Consider the following 18679-nt stretch of genomic DNA (forward strand, 5'->3'; position numbering starts at 1 on the left):
TAGATGTCCTCCCTATTGCCTTATAGGATCACTCTCAATTCGTACTCAGTTTAGCTTCCTGCTTGGTAACTCAGCTATTAAACAGGAATACTTAGAAAACATGATTCTTTAAGCAACCCTAAAGCTGTCCTGATTGTAGCAGCAGTGAGGACCTTCAGATAGTGACAATCCCTCCTTAGATCCCCAAAATTTAAAGTCCTGTCAGAGGGCTTTGCATATGACAGAGAAGGACATAAGGCACAGGCATAAGGCACAAGGCACTTGGCACTACAAATGGTTGTGCAGGCTGCGTGTGGTAAAAGAGCAGCTGAGGGAGCAAATGAACTGAAATTCAGCTTCTGCTCCATTGCACCCATCTGGGCATCTGGCATGGGCCTGTGTTTGCTCAGAGGGAAGCACCTGTTTTCTCATTTTCACACTGTGAGCTAGCAGTGACCCCAGGTATTATACGGGATGGAGTTCCCATACCGTAGTTCAGAGGCATAGGGACTTCTGCATTTGAAGGGTGGGATCAGCATCCCAAGTAAGATAACTCGTGGATGGCCATTGACCTAGGGAGTGGGGCTTTGTGCATGGGTGGAAGTACATATAGACCAAAAACCTAGGCAGTGGGTCCTGAGAACTACAAGGAGTCCCAGGGGAACCAGCTAGCCCCTGGTTGGATGGACCGGGTGCACCAGAATGGCTGGAAGAGTTAGGAAAGCAAGGATAAAAAGCCAGAAAGGGGTTACCTTATCAGCAAACTGCACTTCGGAATAAACTGTGTTCACTGGCTCTTCCTTGGAGGGAAGCACCTGTAAAACACACATCTTCCCCTCAGTGAGGGAGCCCAGGCCCATCTACAAGTCCCCTTTCCTAATTCTGCCTCTACCCACCATCCTTCCCTGGTCCCACATTTACTGGGTGGCCTCCCCTTTGGCCTCAGTTCTGCCTCCATCCAACTCTGGAGAGGCTTAGGATCAGGAAGGGATAAGGTGGGGGTGAATGGGTAGCAGTTGGGCAGGGTCTCGGGGGTGAAAAACCTCAGGGGCCAAGAGGAGGGATCCCATGGTTCAGGATGAGTCCTGCTCAGTCAGGATTTTAGCTTTCCATGGGCTCTATGGATCCAGCTGCCCTATCAGTCCAAGCACAGCGCTAGACTGACCAGGCAGACCTCAGTCTCCCCCTTGATTCCTTGCAGACTTTAAGGAGGCAGGCTGGTGGGGACACAGGAGAGGGCGATCCAGGGTGGAGGGGAGGGAGGGGCAGGCAGGTAAAGGGCGGATGGGAGGAGGGGTGTGGAACAGTGACTCTGAGTCTGAGGAAAGCAAGCCGCTGCTGCTAGACCAGGAGGGGCATTCAAGGGAACTTGTCTGTCAGTTCTGTTGCCTCGTAGCCCCCTTAGCAACCTGTTCACCACGTTGGTAGTCACATAGCAGCCCTCACCTCACTCCAGTAGCTCCTCTGTTGTGTGGCCCCTCTAGGGGGCGCCTTGCTCCTAGTCATGGCTCATCTAACCTGGAGCCGGGCCCACTGTGGGACACTCAGTGCCTCAGCCCATGGAGGCTGCCATGGGGTGACAATGGGTCACGTTCCTGTCCTCATAGAAAGATCCGTGGCATCACTTCCCTGACATGGTATTTCCTGGTTGGAACCTCTGGACTCTTGGCCGTGGCTGCTTTCTAGACAACAACAAGCAGAGGCAATGGCTGCCCATGACTCCCTGTCATGGAGATGGTGGCACAGGGGTGTCCATGAATTGCATCAGCTCACCTTGGACTGCAGGATTTCATCATAGATTCTGGACTCTGCTGGCTGGGTGTTCCTTGAAGCCATGATATATGTGTATATGGTTTTCTTTGAGGCAGCATCTGTCTCACAAATAAATATAGACCCACAGTCTGTGAAAGGTGGTTTTTTTAGCAATGATCTATTCCAATGTTCTCTTTTTAAGATGAAGAAAGGAAGCCCCCAGGGATTAAATGGCTGCCATCCTTTGAAATGGATGCTTGGATCCTCAGAATGTCTCAGGAGTCACTTGGCTGAGGCCTCACCCACAGGTCAATGGGAATTCTCTTCTACTCTAGAGTCCAGATTAGGCCAAAGACAATTTCCCCAACCCCTCCCTGTGTGGCCAGTCAAATGTAGCTCTTCTACCCAGGATCTCCCTTCATGTTTCTGACACTTACCACTGACTGTCTTGCATGGCTAGTTGACTTTCCATGTCACGGTCTTAGTTTTTTAACTTGATTGATTCTTTCTAGTTATATACTATTTTACATTCTTTTGGTGCAGACCTTGCTGTAACCATCTCAATGTTAAGCCCATAGTAGATGTTTCATGAACATTTATTGCTTGTTTGATTGATTCACAGTCTGTTTTTGTTTGTTTTTGAGACAAGTTCTCACTCTGTCACCCACGTTGGAGTGCAGTGGTGCACCAACTCATGGCTCACTGCAACCTCTATCTTCTGGACTCAAGTGATCCTCCCACCTCAGCCTTCTGAGTAGCTGGGACCACAGGTATGTGCCACCACACCCAGCAAATTTTTTGTATTTTTGGTAGAGACAGGGTTTCACCATGTTGCCCAGGTTGGTCTTGAACTCCTGAGCTCAGCTGATCCACATGCCTTGATCTCCCAAAGCGCTGGGATTACAGGCATGAGCCACAGCACCCTGCCAGTTCACACAGTTAATAAACATTTATTAAGCACCTTCTATGTGCCAGGCTCTGTGTGAGGCCCCAGAGAAGAAAAGACAGTAGACAAGTCTTTCCTTTTAAGAATGTATAGGCTAGAAGAGACATTCACGTCAGTGTACTCCTTTGCTTTGGTACTAACACAGAACATTTTAGGGTCAAGGTGAAAAAAGAAGGCCAGAATTTTGGGCCTTCATAATCCAGGGCACCAACATACCTACAAATAACAGGTCTGAGCTGAGCAGTATTACAGGGCTCCAACATTCAGAGTTTAGTCCTATCACTTATTTGGTGAGTATGAGACAAACTGAGTGCTCTCTCTTGTCTCATTTATAGATGCAAAGAATAGCCCTTTCTCTTCCCAAGAGTCAGCGAGGGATTGAAGACAATATCTCTTTGAGGGACCTTGCAGATCACCTGTGGTTCAAGCAGGCTATGCCTTCTCCCCATTGTGAGGCCATTTGAGTATGGCACACGTCACAAATCCCCTCCCCCCTAGAATGCCTCCTCCGTACCATGCCCCAGGCCAATCAGTTATCAGTATACTAGCTAACATTTATCAAGTACTTACTATGTACTGGGAATTGGGCCAAGTATTTTGTATTTCTAATTCCATTTAATCTACTTAATAAGTATATACAGCACACCTTATTACTGTGAATATTTTACAACTGAGAAAATGGAAGCTTACAATGATAAAAAAACTGGTAGCTGATAAATGGTCAAGCTGGGACTTTCACGCCTAGACTGACTGCAAATCACGTGCTTAGTCTTAACCACTCTGTTGGGAACTCCCCATCCCTCCCAATTGTTATTCAAGGAACTTTGTGGCTGAGAACTTACAAGGGTTCTTAGTGAAGGTGTTCAAGCAGGAACCTGAGGAATCAGACCCAAAGGAGAGTCAGGAACATGGAAGCAGAAGTTCCATGTTTTTTATTGTGATTGGTGGGAAAAGGAAGTTCTTGGGTGGACATGGGATGTGGGTGAATCGGAGGGTATAATGATTCCTTGAGGGTCTAAGATCAGGTTTTCTGAATGGAGAATGGCACAACTACAGAATGATCCAGAGGGATTCAGAGGGACATAGTGACAACCATGGAGTACAGGATTAGTATATGTTTCTCAATGACTCTCCAATAGTCATAATCAAAATACAATGAAATTGGAAGTGACCCTGGAGATCCTCTAGTCCAAACATTTCACATGTGAGGGCCCTGAGCTGGAAAGGTGAACACACTCGTACAGTGAAGCACAGCTTGTTCATGTATGTACTAAGCTCGAACCCATGTTCTGGGCCCACCAGCTACTGGTGATCTCAGGAATGGATTCTGAAGACCATTCAGGGTAATGTCATACCATCCTCAGAGCCATCATTCTGGGAGGTGGTGGGGTGGAGATCGGAAAAAGGCAGATTCCCTGGAACAATGGGCCTTTCAGCTAAACCTTGGATAAATGGCTTCAGTCCCAGGAGGAGAGAAGGTGAGTTTCCACATTTTACCTTCTGGGAAAATCCTACCTTGTCTTCTCTTGAACAAACGGAACAAAAACACTGAAGACAGAATGAGAACAAGCAGAAAGAACATAGCCAGCACGCTCAGCAACCCGGTGTGGTGAGTACGGAAGCCCATTGCGATGTCTGGAAATAGAAGATGCAGTGAGTCTTGATTCTCAGGAAATAGGCCCAAGAGGCTGGGCAGGTTTGCCCACAGTCAGGGGCATTATGAAAATTGGGTGCCCTCCGAAGGAGTGCCAAAGCTCCTAGGGAAACTAAACTTTCTGCTATTAAAAGCCAGGATGAGAAATTGAATCAGAGAGTTGATCAGGGGCTGCCACAGAACACCCAGAAATGTCTAGCATCTCTCAGAAGGCTTTGGCCTCTTTCCCAGTAGGCTTCTTGGGAGGTGATGCCCTCAGTGACCAGGCCAAAGATAAAGGAAGCACATCTCCCTAGAGAATGTGGCCCACGTTCAGACCTTGCAGCTCCTCAGAGTGATCTCTGAGACTCACCAGGAGAGATGGGCAGAGCTGGTTACCTGCACAGAGCTGCCGGGCAGAGATGGAGTCAGAATTGTTGCTGACAGGGTTCTGGGCTGTACACGTGTAAGTCAGCTCTTGGTCCTCAGGAGTCTGGAAGATTTGAAGGACATTACCCTCTTCTCCCAGGGGACTCCAATTGTATGTCACATTCTTTTCTTCTTTCTCTACAGAGCATGTCAGTGTGACATTACAGGTGCTGTTCACAGATGCCATTAAACTCTGTGTAATTTTTGGTTTCCCAAGCCGACCTGTGGGGGCAAACACATGAGCCAATAGTGAGCTGGAGCTGGCTTGTACTAGTTTGTGGGAGCCAATTGTTAAATTCTCAGAAATTTGCAAGCCATCATTAAAAATTAAATTATAAAAACATAATTAAATAAATTATGTTAAAAATAAAGATAATAAATCCTCAAAACTCATCACTTTCTAATCCTTTTTTTGACATTTTCCTGCTGTCTATGCTCTCGAGGTTATCTACATCTATTGTATCTGTCCTTTGTTAACAGAGTATCTGTCTTTCTAATTCTGCATGTCTTAAAATCAGCCATGGTAGGAGTATTACCCCACAGAAATTTGCAATTGCTATAAGCTAGGACTCGATTTACTGTTTTGATGATTGTTGCTCTAGACTTAAGATAGCAATGGAGGAATGCAGATGAAACTTAAAATTGTATAATATCTGTAGCCATTACATTGTGAATAGCACAAAAAATAGGAAGTATTCTTCTGGTATTTGGAAACCATTATCCAATTCAGCAAAGAAGTCGCTCGTGTCATTGATAAACAAATGAAGCTCCAATATATATGTCTTTGTTGAATCACTTTTTTCTTATTATTTAACTGAAATGAAAATATCAACCGATGTTTGTGTTGGAACTATACTCATACATCAATTACAACTATAAGCTGATTAGGGATATAAATGCTTAGCAAAAATCAATGAAAGCATTCTGTAAGAATAATTGGAATTTATCCTCTAGTGCCCTCTCAGCAAAATAAATTCTATATAGAATTTACAATAAAGACTATTATATATTTATTATCATTAATGAAACTGTGTGCTACACATCCTTCAAGTCAATAAAATTTGTACTAAACATAAATTTTATATATATATATGAATACACACACCCAATTAAGAGCTAATTAAATATTTATCAGCACACAACTACATGAAATAATCTTTTTTTTTTTTTTTTTGAGACGGAGTCTTGCTCTGTCACCCAGGCTGGAGTGCAGTGGCATGATCTCGGCTCACTGCAAGCTCCGCCTCCTGGGTTCAAGCCATTCTCCTGCCTCAGCCTCCCGAGGAGTAGCTGGGACTACAGGTGCCCACCACCACGCCTAATTTTGTTTTTGTATTTTTAGTAGAGATGGAGTTTCACCGTGTTAGCTAGGATGGTCTCAATCTCCTGACCTCGTGATCCACCCGCCTCGGCCTCCCAAAGTGCTGGGATGACAGGTGTGAGCCACCGCACCCAGCCAAAATAATCTTTAAAATTTTTTTTCATTCTGTTTTCTGGTGTATGTATATTTTCTTTATTTTTTAAAAACTATCCATGGTGGAAAGCTATAATTTCTTTAAAAGTTCATTAAAATGTTTTTACTTAAGCAATCAAAAAGTAAACTATAAAAGTTGAAGGCTAGTAAAGGGTTACTAAAGAACAATAATAATTCAAGTGATAGCTAGGACTGGAGCTGGCATGGGGAAGCGTTAAGGTCTTTTCTTTTACCAGGAATAAGAAAATGACCACATTTGGAGTTAATAAGTTCAGCGCCCTCTCAGCAAAGTTGCTGTGGTGGGGTTTGTTTCTTCCACTGTAGCTATGTGAGGAAGGGAATAGAGGAGTCAGAAGGAACTGGTGCACAACTAGAAAGGCAATAAATTCAGAAGTGTAGACACAAGATATAAGAACCATTATCTTGCGTTTGTGAAGGAACTCAACATGAACAGTAAGAAGCTGTAAAAATGTTTGATTCCAAGCTAGCCAGAAATTCTGGTCCTAACAATCTTTTAGAGGGATCTATTCCATATTAGAATTAGTGAAGACTTGGAATAAACCCAAAACAAGTTTGGGGTACAGACCTGGATTAACTATAATAGTGACTGATACGATATCAATTAGTAGAAAGTGAACAAAATTTTGTGTGTGTGCGTGTGTGTTTCTTTAGAAATTTGATTTACAAAAATGCCTAGGGAGTGCTTGGTGTTTACCAATTGTTGGGGGTAGGTGTTGAGGTAGGGGACAGTGGTAAAGAAGAGGATCCCATCTCACTTTTCTCAGCAGGAACAGAGGTGTTGCCTGCACAAAGATGCTGGGAAGAGAAAGTCAGAGTCATGGCCGACAGATCTTCATCCTCCCAAGCCAAGATTGTGGAAGCCACTGGAGACCTGGTTCAGAATCCAGGCTCTACTGCTCTCTAGCTATGGAATAATGGAGAAGGTATACAGATTCATGGAGCTTCAGCTCCCTTATTTATAACATGAGGGTAAAAATTTTTCCCTAAATACAATTGTTGTGAGGATTAAATGAGATTTTGAAGATAAAGATTATTCTAATTACCTATTTACTTATCTATCATCTATCTGTCTGTCTATGCTGGTATGCACATTAATTATCTATGGAAGACACAGAAGAAGCTGGCTACAGCCACTGCCTCTGAGAAGAGAGAGTTACATCTCATTGTATTATCTTTTGCTCTTTTTGTGCATACAGTGCTTAAATATGTATAGTCTATATATTTTTAAAATAGATATTAGAATGCCAAACACATAAATGATGTTCAATAAATGTTAGTTTCCTTCTCTTTATTTTCCCAGCTAACTACCCATAAGGTACAGATTTTATTGTATATACAGTACAGCTTTCTCTAAGATATTACTGTACTGTGTCCTAATTGCACGTGGTAGAAGACTTTCTGAAGATTGGGTAGGCAAAATTAAACATATAAAGGGTTAAAAATCAATATCTTAAAATTGAATACCATCTTTATTTTCTCAGCTAAAGTTCTCGAATGAGTTAAATATTTTCTAAAGGGTTGACATTTGGGTATGGCTCTTTGACTACATTATTCAAGCCTAGTTCAGAGCCTTCTTCATCTAGGAAGTCCTTCATAATGAGATTTTTTTTAAGGGATAAGGATTAAAAAATTAATGATTACTAGTTATTGAGCATTTACTTTAAGGCAGGCACTATACTAGGGAGCTCAACTACCATTATCTCATTTAATACCATCAATTACGATCTACATTCTATAAGTGAGGAAACTTTGGAACAGAGAGGTTAAACAACTTGCCCAAGATCATACAGCTGGCAAAGTATGCCTAATCCCAACATTAGCGTTCTTTCCGCTATGCTGTCCATCGGTATAGAAACTGATTCAATCATCTTATATTAATCGAACATTCACAATTGCTAAGCACTGTGAAACCTGGGAATAATACTATTCATTCATTCTTTTTCAACAAATACTTCTGGAGCATCCACTATGTACCTGATGATGTTGGTGCTGGGAATACAGTGATAAACAATATACAAAGTCCCTGCCTTTATGGAACTTGCATTTTAGTGGGTGACCTATATACCTGAATTGCATCTGTCACAACATGGATTACCCACATTTCTGTGTTTTTCTGCAATGAGGCAGATGAACAGTGAAATCTTTGAGAAATGGCCAAGGTGTTCTCTATGCTAGAAACTAGTGTTGCCCAAAAGAAATGTAATGTGAGTCACTTATGTAATTTTAAATTTTCTAATAATCACATTTCAAAAGTCAAAACAAGCAGGTAATATTACTTTTAAATTATGCATTATATTTAACCCAATATAACAAAAATTTCTTTTCCCTAATATGAAAATTACTGAGGAGGGGGCGTCTGCCATCTCTGTGGTTCAGTAGCTTCAGCCATTCCAGCCTACCAGCTTTGGAGAGTTCAAATGATCTGGAGGAGGAAGGGTCCCCTACAACGCGGCACAGCTGCTTTGCCAGATCAGACTGCTGCTTTACTCTCACTGGGTGGGACCTCCCTGCAGGGGCTTCAGCCACTCTAGCCAGGGTTATACAGACAGAGTTTTGAATTCTCCCTGGGGCAGAGCTCCTATGGGGAGGGGCGGCCACCATTTCTGCCATTCAGTCAACTCAGCTGTTCCAGCCTGCTGGCTTTGGAGAGTCCAGAGAGTCTGGACAAGGAAGGGAGCCTCCAATGCAGCACACCTGCTCTATCAAAAAGCAACCAGACTGATTCTTTTTGTGGGTCCCTGATCCTGTTCCTCCTGACAGGTTGAGACCTCCCAACAGAGGTCCCTAGCCACCTCCTACAGGTGTATTCAGGCTGGCAACAGGTCAGTACACCCCTGGGATGGAGCTTCCAGAAAAAGGAGCAGGCTGCCATCTTTGCTGTTTTGCAGACTTCACTCGTGATACCTCCAGGTATAGGAAAAACTGAGGCAATTAGGGTCTGGAGTGGACCCTCAGCAAACTGCAACAGCCCCACAGAAGAGTAGCCTGACTATTGAAAGAAAAACCAACAAACAGAAAACAACAGCATCAACAAAAAAGACCTCAGAAAAACCCCATTGGAAGGTCAGTGACCTCAAAGATAAAAAGTAGATAAGCCCACAAAGATAATAAAGAATTAATGCAAAAATGCTGAAAACTCAAAAAGCCAGGATGCCTCTTCTTCTCCAAATGACCACAATACCTCTCCAGCAAAAGCAAAGAACTGGGCTGAGGCTGAGATGGCTGCATTGACAGAAGTAGGCTTCAGAAGGTGGGTAATAACAAACTTTGCTGAGCTAAAGGAGCATGTTCTAACTCAATGCAAAGAAGCTAAGAATTATGATAAGACAATACAGGAGCTGATAGCCAGAATAGCCAGTTTAGAGAGGAACAAAACCGACCTGATGGAGCTGAAAACCACAACACGAGATACTGATCACAAGTATCAACAGCAGAACAGACCAAGTGGAGGAAAGAATCATAGAACTTGAAGACTATCTTTCTGAAATAAGACAGGCAGACAAGAAAAAAGAAAAAAGAATGAAAAGGAATGAATGAAACCTCCAAGACATATGGAGTTATGTATAGAGACCAAACCTATGACCAATTGGGGTAGCTGAAAGAGATGGGGAGAATGGAACTAAGTTGGAAAACATACTTCAAGATATCATCCAGGAGAACTTCCCCAGCCTAGCAAGACAGGCCAACCTTCAGATTCAGGAAATGCAGAGAACACAAGTGAGATACTCCATGAGAAAATCAACCCCAGGACACGTAATCATCAGATTCTCCAAGGTCGAAATGAAAGTAAAAATGTTAAGGCAACCAGAGAGAAAGGCCAGGTCACCTACAAAGGGAAGCACATCAGACTAAAAGTGTACCTCTCAGTAGAAACTCTACAAGCCAGAAGAGATTGGGGGCCAATAGTCAACATTATTGAAGAAAACCATTTTCAACCCAGAATTTCATATCTGGCCAAACTAAGCTTCATAAGTGAAGAAGAAATAAAATCCTTTCCAAACAAGCAAATGCTGAAGGAATTTGCGACCACCAGGCCTGCCTTGCAAGAGCTCCTGAAGGAAGCACTAAATAAGGAAAGGGAAAACAGGTACCAGCCACTACAAAAACACACTGAAGTATGCAGACCAGTGACACTATGAAGCAACTACATAAACAAGTCTGCAAAATAACCAGCTAGCATAATGATGACACGATCAAATTCACACATAACAACACTAACCTTAAGTGTAAATGCGCTAAATGCCCCCAATTTAAAAAATCACAGAATGGCAAACTGGTATGCTGAGACCCATTTGTATGCTGTCTTCAAGAGACCCATCTCACATGCAAAGACACACATAGGCTCAAAATAAAGGGATAGGGAAAAATTTACCAAGCAAATGGGAAACAGAAAAAAGCAGAAGTTACAATCCTAGTTTCTGACAAAATAGACTTTAAAGCAACAAAGATAAAAAAAGACAAAGAAGGACATTACATGATGGTAATGGGTAACTACCCTTTACCAGGATAGTTAGGATAGTGCTAACTATCCTAAATATATATGCACACAATACAGGAGCACTCAAATCCATAAAGCAAGTTCTTAGAGATCTACAAAAAGACTTAGACTCTCACACAATAATAATGGGAGAGTTAAACACCCTACTTACCATATTAGACAGACCATTAAGGCAGAAAGTTTACAAAGATATTCAGAACCTAAACTCAGCTCTGGATCAAGTATACCTGTAGACCTCTACAGAACTCTCCACCCGAATTCCACAGAATATATATTCTTCTCAACACCGTATGCACTTACTTTAAAATTGATCACATAATAGGAAGTAAAACACTCCTCAGCAAACGCGAAAGACCTGAAATCATTCAGGGAAACAGTCTCTCAGATCATAGCACAATCAAATTAGAGCTCAAAATTAAGAAATTCACTCATAACCACACAATTACATGGAAATTCAACAATCTGTTCCTGAATGACTCTTGGGTAAACAATGAAATTAAGGCAGAAATCAAGTTCTTTGAAACTAATGAGAACAAAGAGACAATGTACCAGAATCTCTGCAAGGCAGGCTAAAGGATTGTTAAGAGGGAAACTTACAGCACTAAATGCCCACATCAAAAAGCTAGAAAGATCTCAAGTTAACAACCTAACATCACAACTAAAAGAACTATAGAACCAAAAACAAACAAACCCCAAAGCTAGCAGAAGATGAGAAATAATAAAGATCAGGGCTGAACTGAAGGAGACAGAGACACAAAAAACCATTCAAAAAATCAACAAATCCAGAAGTTGGCTTTTTGAAAAAATGAGAAAAATAGAGAGACTGCTAGCTAGACTAGTAAAGAAGAAAAGAGAGAAGAATCAAATAAACACAATAAAAAATGATAAAGGGGATATCATCACTGACCCCAAAGCAATACAAACAACCATCAGAGAATACTATAAATATCTCTATGTACATAAACTAGAAAATATAGAAGAAATGGATAAATTCCTGGACACTTACACACTCCCAAGACTGAGCCAGGAAGAAGTTGAATTTTTGAACAGACCAATAACAAGTTCTGAAATTGAGGCAGTACTAAATAGCCTACCAACCAAAAACAAAACAAAACAAAACAAAACAAAAGCCAGGACCAGACAGATTCACAGCTGAGTTCTACAAGAAGTACAAAGAAGAGCTGGCATAATTTCTACTAAAATTATTCCAAAAAATTGAAAAGGAGGAACTCTTCCTTAACTCATTCTGAGGCCATCATCATCCTGATACCAAAACCTGGTAGAGATAAAACCAAAAAAGGAAACTTCAGGCCAATATCCTTAATGAACATTGATGCAGAAATCCTCAGTAAAATGCTGGCAAACCAAAACCAGCAGCACATCATAAAGCTTATCCACCACGACCAAGCTGGCTTCATCCCTAGGATGCAAGTTTGGTTCAACATATCCAAATCAGTAAGTGTGATTCATCACATAAATAGTACTGAAGACAAAACCCACAGATCATCTCAACTGAGGCAGAAGGGCCTTCAATAAAATTCAACATCACTTCATGTTAAACACTCTCCATAACTTAGGTATTGAAGGAACACACCTCAAAATAATAAGAGCCACATATGACAAACTCACGCCAATATCATACTGAATGGGCAAAAGCAGGAAGCATTCCCTGTGAAAACCAGCACAGGACAAGAATGCCCTCTTTCATCACTCCTATTCAACATAGTATTGAAAGTTCTGGCAAGAGCAATCAGGCAAGAGAAAGAAATAAAGGGTATTCGAATAGGGAGAGAGGAAGTCAAACTGTCTCCGTTTGCAGATGACATGATCCTATATCTAGAAAACCCCATAATCTCAGGCCAATATTTTCTTAAGCTGTTAAACAACTTCAGCAATCCTCAAGGATACAAAATCAATGGGCAAAAATCACTAATGTTCCTATACACCAACAGCAGGCAAGCAGAGAGCCAAATAATTAATGAACTCCCATTCACAATTGCTACAAAAAGATTAATATGCCTAGGAATACAGCTAACAAGGAAAGTGAAGGACATTCACAATTGCTACAAAAAGATTAATATGCCTAGGAATACAGCTAACAAGGAAAGTGAAGGACCTCTTCAAGGGGAACTACAAACCACTGCTCAAAGAAATCAGAGAGGACACAAATAAGTGGAAAAACATTCCATGCTCATGGATAGGAAGAATCAATATCATGAAAATGGCCATACTGCCCAAAGTAATTTATAGATTCTAAGCTATTCACATTAGACTACTATTGACATTCTTCATAGAATTAGAAAAAACTACTTTAAAATTCATATGGATGAAAAAGAGCCTGAATAGCCAAGACAGTCCTAAGCAAAAAGAACAAAACTGGAGGCATCACACTACCCAACTTCAAACTATACTACAAGGCCAAGGTAACCAAAACAGCACGGCACTGGTACAAAAACAGACACATAGACCAATGGAACAGAATAAAGAACTCAAAAATAAGACCACACACCAGCAATTATCAGATTTTCGACAAACCTGACAAAAACAATGGGAAAAGGATTCCCTATTTAAAAATGGTGCAGGGAGAACTGGCTAGCCACATGCAGAAAATTGAAACTGGACCACTCCCTTATACCTTAAACAAAAATTAATTCAAGGTGAATTAAAGACTTAAATGTAAAGCCCCAAAGTATAAAAACCCTATAAGAAAATCTGGGCAATACCATTCAGGACATAGGCACGGGCACAGATTTCATGATGAAAATGTCAAAAGCAATTGCAACAAAAGCAAAAATTGACAAATGGGATCTGATTAAACTAAAGAGCTTCTGCACAGCAAAAGAAACTATCATCAGAGTGAACAAACAACCTACAGAATGGGAGAAAATTTTTCCAGTCTATCCATCTGACAAAGGTCTAATATCCAGAGTCCACAAGGAACTTAAACAAACGTTTAAGGAAAAAACAAACAGAAAAAAAACCACACACAGCCCCATTAAAAACTGGGCAAAAACCATGAACAGACACTTCTCAAAAGAAGACATTCATGCAGCCAACAAACATGTGAAAAAAAGCTAAACATCACTGATCATTAGAAAAATGCAAATCAAAACCACAATGAGATACCATCTCCTGCCCGTCAGAATGGCAATTATTAATAAAGTCAAGAAACAACAGATGCTGGCAAGATTGCAGGGAAAAAGAAATGCTTTTACAATGTTGGTGGGAGTGTAAATTAGTTAATTCCAACCATTGTGGAAGACAGTGTGGCCATTCCTCAGAAACCTAGAGGCAGAAATACCATTTGTTCCAGCAAACCCATTATTGGGTGTATACCCCAAAGAATATAAATCATTCTATTATAAAGATACTTGCACATGTATGTTCATTGCAGCACTATTCACAATAGCTAAGATATGGAATCAACCCAAATGCCCATCAATGATAGATTGGATAAAGAAAATGTGGTACATATATGCCATGGAATACTATGCAGCCATAAAAAGGAACAAGATCATGTCCTTTTCAGGGACATGGATGGAGTTGGAAGCCATTACCCTCAGCAAACTAATGCAGGAACAGAAAACCGAACACCACATGTTCTCACTTATAAGTGGGAGATGAATGATGAGAACACATGGAGGGGAACAACACACACTGGGACCTGTTGGAGAGGGGTTGGGGGAGAGAGAGGATCAGGAAGGTTAGCTAATGGATGTTGGTCTTAATACCTAGATGATGGAATGATCTGTGCAGCAAACCACCATGGCACACATTTACCTATGTAACAAACTTTGACATCCTGCACATGTACCCCTGAACTTAAAATAAACATTGAAGAAAAAAAAGAAAATTATTGAGATATTTTATATATTTTTTTGGTGCTAAGATTTCAAGATCTGGTATGAATTTTACACTTACAGCACATCTCAATTTGGACTCACCACATTTCAGATGCTCAAGAGCTGCATGTGTCTAGAGGCTACCATAGTGAATAGGGCAGCACTAGGTCCGTACTTTCTCAAACTTTGGCACAGGTGGGAATAATCCAGAGATAACATTAAACACAGATTCCTGGACTTCATTCATTCACAAAGGTCAGGGGGAGGACCTGAACATTCGCATTTCCAAAAAGCTCCCAGTTGATGCTGATACTGCCAGTCTACAGACCACACTTGGGGTAGCTTGCAAAACAAAGCACGCACATCTCCCAGTGAATTGTGGCAATTATAATGATGATAACAAATAGTTATAATATTTTACCTTTCAAAAGCACTTTGCATTAACTACTAGAAATTCAAATTAAAACTAAATTGAGTTATCACTGCACACCCATCAGAATGGCCAAAATGAAAAATAATAACACCAAATGCTAGTGAGGATGTAGAGAAACTGGATCACTCATACATTCCTGGTGAGAATGGAAAGTTGAAAATAGTTTATCAGTTTCTTTTAAAGCTGTAAATGCCCTTATCATAAAATTACATTCTTGAGCATTTATCCCAGAGAAATAAAAACTTATTTCATGCAGAAATGTGTACACATATATTCACAGCAGCTTTATTTGTAATAGCCCCAAACTGGAAAGAACTAAAATGTTCCTCAAGAGGTGAATGGTTAAACAACCTAGTGCATCCATACCGTGGAATACTATCTAGCAATAAAAAGGTATAAACTATTAGTACACACAAGAGTTTGGATGAATCTCAGTGACATTACGCTAAGTGAAAAATACCCAACCTCAAAAAGATACGTCCTTCATTATTCCATCTACATAACATGTGTGAAATGACATAGTTGTAGATGTGAACAAACTGGTTGTTTTTCAGGGACTGGGGAAGGGAAAGATGGAGATGTGGCTATAAAGGGAGAGTATGAGGGAATCTTGTGATGGTTAATCTTGATTATGGTAGTGGTTACACAAAACTACCCATGTGATTAAATTGTACAGAGCTACACACATACTCACACATAAATGAATGCATGCATACGTGGTGAAACCTAAATAAGCTCTATAGATTGTGCTAATGTCAATTTCCTGTTTTTGATATTGTGCTATAGTTATGCAAGGTGTTAACACAGGGTGAAGGGTACATAGAACCTCCCTGTATATTTATTTGTACCTTCTTTGCATCTATCATGATCTCAAAATGAAAAGTTTTTTTAAAGCACTTTGCATACACTATCTCATTTGATCCTCATGATAACCCTGGGAAGTGAGTAGTATGATCATTGACATTATGTAAAAAAGAAAACCAAGGCCCAGGGGACCAACTACTGATGGAAGAATTACATAGCTAAAAACAGGCAAAGTCAGGACTGAAATAAGACTACATCCTCTTATAAGTATTGATGTATCAATATGTAAGTATTTATAGATATAAAAAGATTTAGGGGACCCAATTATCAGAAATGTAGATGTGTTTCAGATAGCAAACTTGCAAAGTAAAAATAAAACACAAGCTCTCCGTCTTCCCATGACTTACGATAGATTTGCAGGTTGTAGCGCTTGGTGGTGGTGTAGGGATCAGCCTGTGTATTTATGTCTGCTTTGTAGTCTCCTGCGTCTTCCATCCTCAGATCGCTAATGACCAGATTGTAGTTCGGACCTAAGGCATGTATCCGTTCATAATAATTTCTGTGGGTCACAGTAACTACGGGTGCTGTTTCTGAGTCTCCTGGTGTTACATAAGCAACAGATGTTTTAGAAGTCCAAGCAATGATTTTAACTTGCCGTGGTTCTTGGATATTTACAGGGAAAGTGACTGACTCTCCCAGAATCCCATTCACTGTGAAGATTTCTGAGTCTTTTCCAGCTGCTTCCGGCCCTGAGAACATAAAAAGAAAACTGTAGCCATCTGACTGTTGCAGCTTTTTCACTTCCTAATCTTTTTGGCCTTGGAGCTCCCTGAGGAGCTGCCACAAATGCAGTTCACCCAGTTTCTTGAGGATGCCTTTTTTTTTTTTTGGCATTCTACTCTAGGTGTATTTAATATGTTATGACAACTAAATTTTCTAACGCATTCTCATTCAAAAACTAAGTTTCTCACTAGAGATCCATTTTGTTAAAAATATTTTTACCTAGACTTACAGACTCTGAAAGCTAGAAGGCATTTGAGAGGTGAAGGCCATAAGCCTCCACGTAGTCTAAGATATTAGGTGCACTTCTTTCCCAAGATCATATTGCCAAGTGGTGGAAGAGCTAGAACAAGAACCTGGAATATCTTGGCTGATGGACTCTTGGGTCATTGCTTTTTATTTTCCTGTGATCTCTGTAAAAAGCAAGTAACACTTTTGTCTCTTTTCTTGGAAGATAGAAGCAGAGAGTGCTTTGGAGTCTCTGGAGAAAATATTCCCTAAGTTGGTGATTTTTAGGGATATTTTTCTGTTTACTTCCATATTCCTAGTCTCTAGAAGAGTGCCTAACACAGAGAAGGGGCTTAATAAATATTTGTGGAATTAATTGATAGAATTTACTCATGAGTTTCCTAGACTCTCTTGGAACAACTTCTGAAGTAAGCAAGTTTCGTTTATTCATTCATACATTTGTGAATGGTTGCATGTATTTATTCAGGATCAGTTTTGCTCCAGATACTATGGTGGGTATTTGTTAATTTAATTTATAATGTAAGTGTTTGTTGGACATCTACTCTTTTAAACAAGATACGAGGAGCTGAGGATACAACGGCGAGAAGAAACAGATATAATTCTTGCTCTTTGAGACTTACAATCAGAGGAAGATACCAATGTTGATCAGATAACCATAGAAACAAATGGATAGGCACAAAATATGTAAGCATTATGGTGATTTGAGAGAGACCAGCAAGGGGACTTGATCTGTTCTGGGAATCGAGGGAACATTTCCTAGTGAAAACTTAAGGATGAATACTTTTAAAATGTAACATGGGAAGATGAAAAGCTTATTTTCTCCTCCCTTTTCTCTCCTCTATCACTTTTGAAGATAAACTGATTTAATATATAGTTTGTAAAATGAGAGACAATGTAACTTCAAGACATTATTTTTCTGCTCTTTCTCCTCCTCTTCTTCATTATCCTATAATTCTCAATGAGGGCTCTTTAGTGAGAAACACTGTTTGGGGCAAGCATAGATGATATCCAAAGTATTTAATAACCAATATGACGTGGGCCTTGACCAATCAGAAAGGGTGTTAGCCATAAACAAACTAGTTGAGCGGTTCTGGTGTGTACTGGTTGCATGTAGGCTCTGATGACCAGACATCAGTTTTCCACATAAGTGGGTTCAGGTTGACCCTAAAGTTTATCCAAGGCTTGGTATACGGAAGAATAAGGATCATAAAGTATACACGTCCCTTGAAAGTGGCACAAAAAAAGCGATTTCTTAACCTGATGGTGTTGTCTCACTATGGCTACCCTTGCTCTTCAGCTCAGCAACCACTGAAAGAGCCCCAGGAACAGCTGATGTAAAGCTCTTTCCTTTCTGACCAACAGAGATTTTCCCGTAGGAGCAGTATCCGGGACAAGGCCTGAGGATTTAGTTGGGGGTTGGCTAAGTACAGAAGATACAACAGGGTGGGGAGTATGTGGAGTGGGAGTAGGAAGGGGGAAATTGGGAACCCTTATCTGCAAACATTTATTAACTGCTAATTATGTGTCAGATGCTGTGTTAGGGACACAGGGATAAACAGGACATCGTTGCAGCCCTGAGGAGCTCACAGCCTAGAAAATAAGACAGATGTGGTCACAAGTGAAAGACAATACAACACGATGAGTGCTAAATGGTAAAAGCAATAGAAATAAGCCATTGGGGTAGCGGGTCAGAAAGAGGCTAATGCTGCCTTTGGTGGTAAGAGTCATAGTTTGCCAAAATTTAAGAACATTAATTCTTCCCAGATAAACTGTTTTTCTGGGCTGACGGGTTCTAGGAGAGGGGTATTTGGAGTGTCCCAGCGTGAATCCCTGGATGGT

General features: G+C 40.7%; 1 protein-coding gene and 1 long non-coding RNA gene across 8 annotated transcripts in view, besides 3 other annotated features; one reads left to right on the forward strand and one right to left on the reverse strand.

Annotated features, from left to right (window-relative positions):
- Positions 1 to 18679, forward strand: part of CD84-AS1 (CD84 antisense RNA 1) — a 34038-nt gene that overhangs the window by 12090 nt on the left and 3269 nt on the right. The gene's annotated exons all lie outside the window — the stretch shown is intronic.
- The window catches only part of CD84 (CD84 molecule), a 38399-nt gene that overhangs the window by 8088 nt on the left and 11632 nt on the right, over positions 1 to 18679 (reverse strand). Inside the window, exons 2-8 of one of the 7 annotated variants that reach the window (XR_921991.4) lie at positions 16219 to 16560; positions 4710 to 4961; positions 4193 to 4312; positions 3520 to 3552; positions 1753 to 1850; positions 1426 to 1661; positions 732 to 794 (exon numbers count right to left, since the gene is read on the reverse strand). Coding sequence is in view for 6 of the 7 variants with exons in the window: in NM_001184879.2 (NP_001171808.1) it covers positions 732 to 794; positions 1753 to 1850; positions 3520 to 3552; positions 4175 to 4312; positions 4710 to 4961; positions 16219 to 16560 (926 nt within the window). In the remaining variant the exon portion in view is untranslated. Of the gene's footprint in view, positions 1 to 731; positions 795 to 1425; positions 1662 to 1752; positions 1851 to 3519; positions 3553 to 4174; positions 4313 to 4709; positions 4962 to 16218; positions 16561 to 18679 lie in introns of those variants that run through there. The other 6 variants (NM_001330742.2, NM_001184879.2, XM_011510095.3 and 3 more) reach the window with 6 other exon arrangements.
- Positions 253 to 302: a silencer, noted in NCBI's record as "silent region_1461". NCBI's record gives its function as "represses an Ori minimal core promoter by ATAC-STARR-seq in GM12878 lymphoblastoid cells {active_cell/tissue: GM12878}" and the evidence as "EXISTENCE:reporter gene assay evidence [ECO:0000049][PMID:35858748]".
- Positions 453 to 692: an enhancer, noted in NCBI's record as "active region_1932". NCBI's record gives its function as "activates an Ori minimal core promoter by ATAC-STARR-seq in GM12878 lymphoblastoid cells {active_cell/tissue: GM12878}" and the evidence as "EXISTENCE:reporter gene assay evidence [ECO:0000049][PMID:35858748]".
- Positions 1523 to 1752: an enhancer, noted in NCBI's record as "active region_1933". NCBI's record gives its function as "activates an Ori minimal core promoter by ATAC-STARR-seq in GM12878 lymphoblastoid cells {active_cell/tissue: GM12878}" and the evidence as "EXISTENCE:reporter gene assay evidence [ECO:0000049][PMID:35858748]".

Source organism: Homo sapiens, chromosome 1, assembly GCF_000001405.40.
Source record: "Homo sapiens chromosome 1, GRCh38.p14 Primary Assembly".
Classification (NCBI taxonomy): Eukaryota; Metazoa; Chordata; class Mammalia; order Primates; family Hominidae; genus Homo; species Homo sapiens.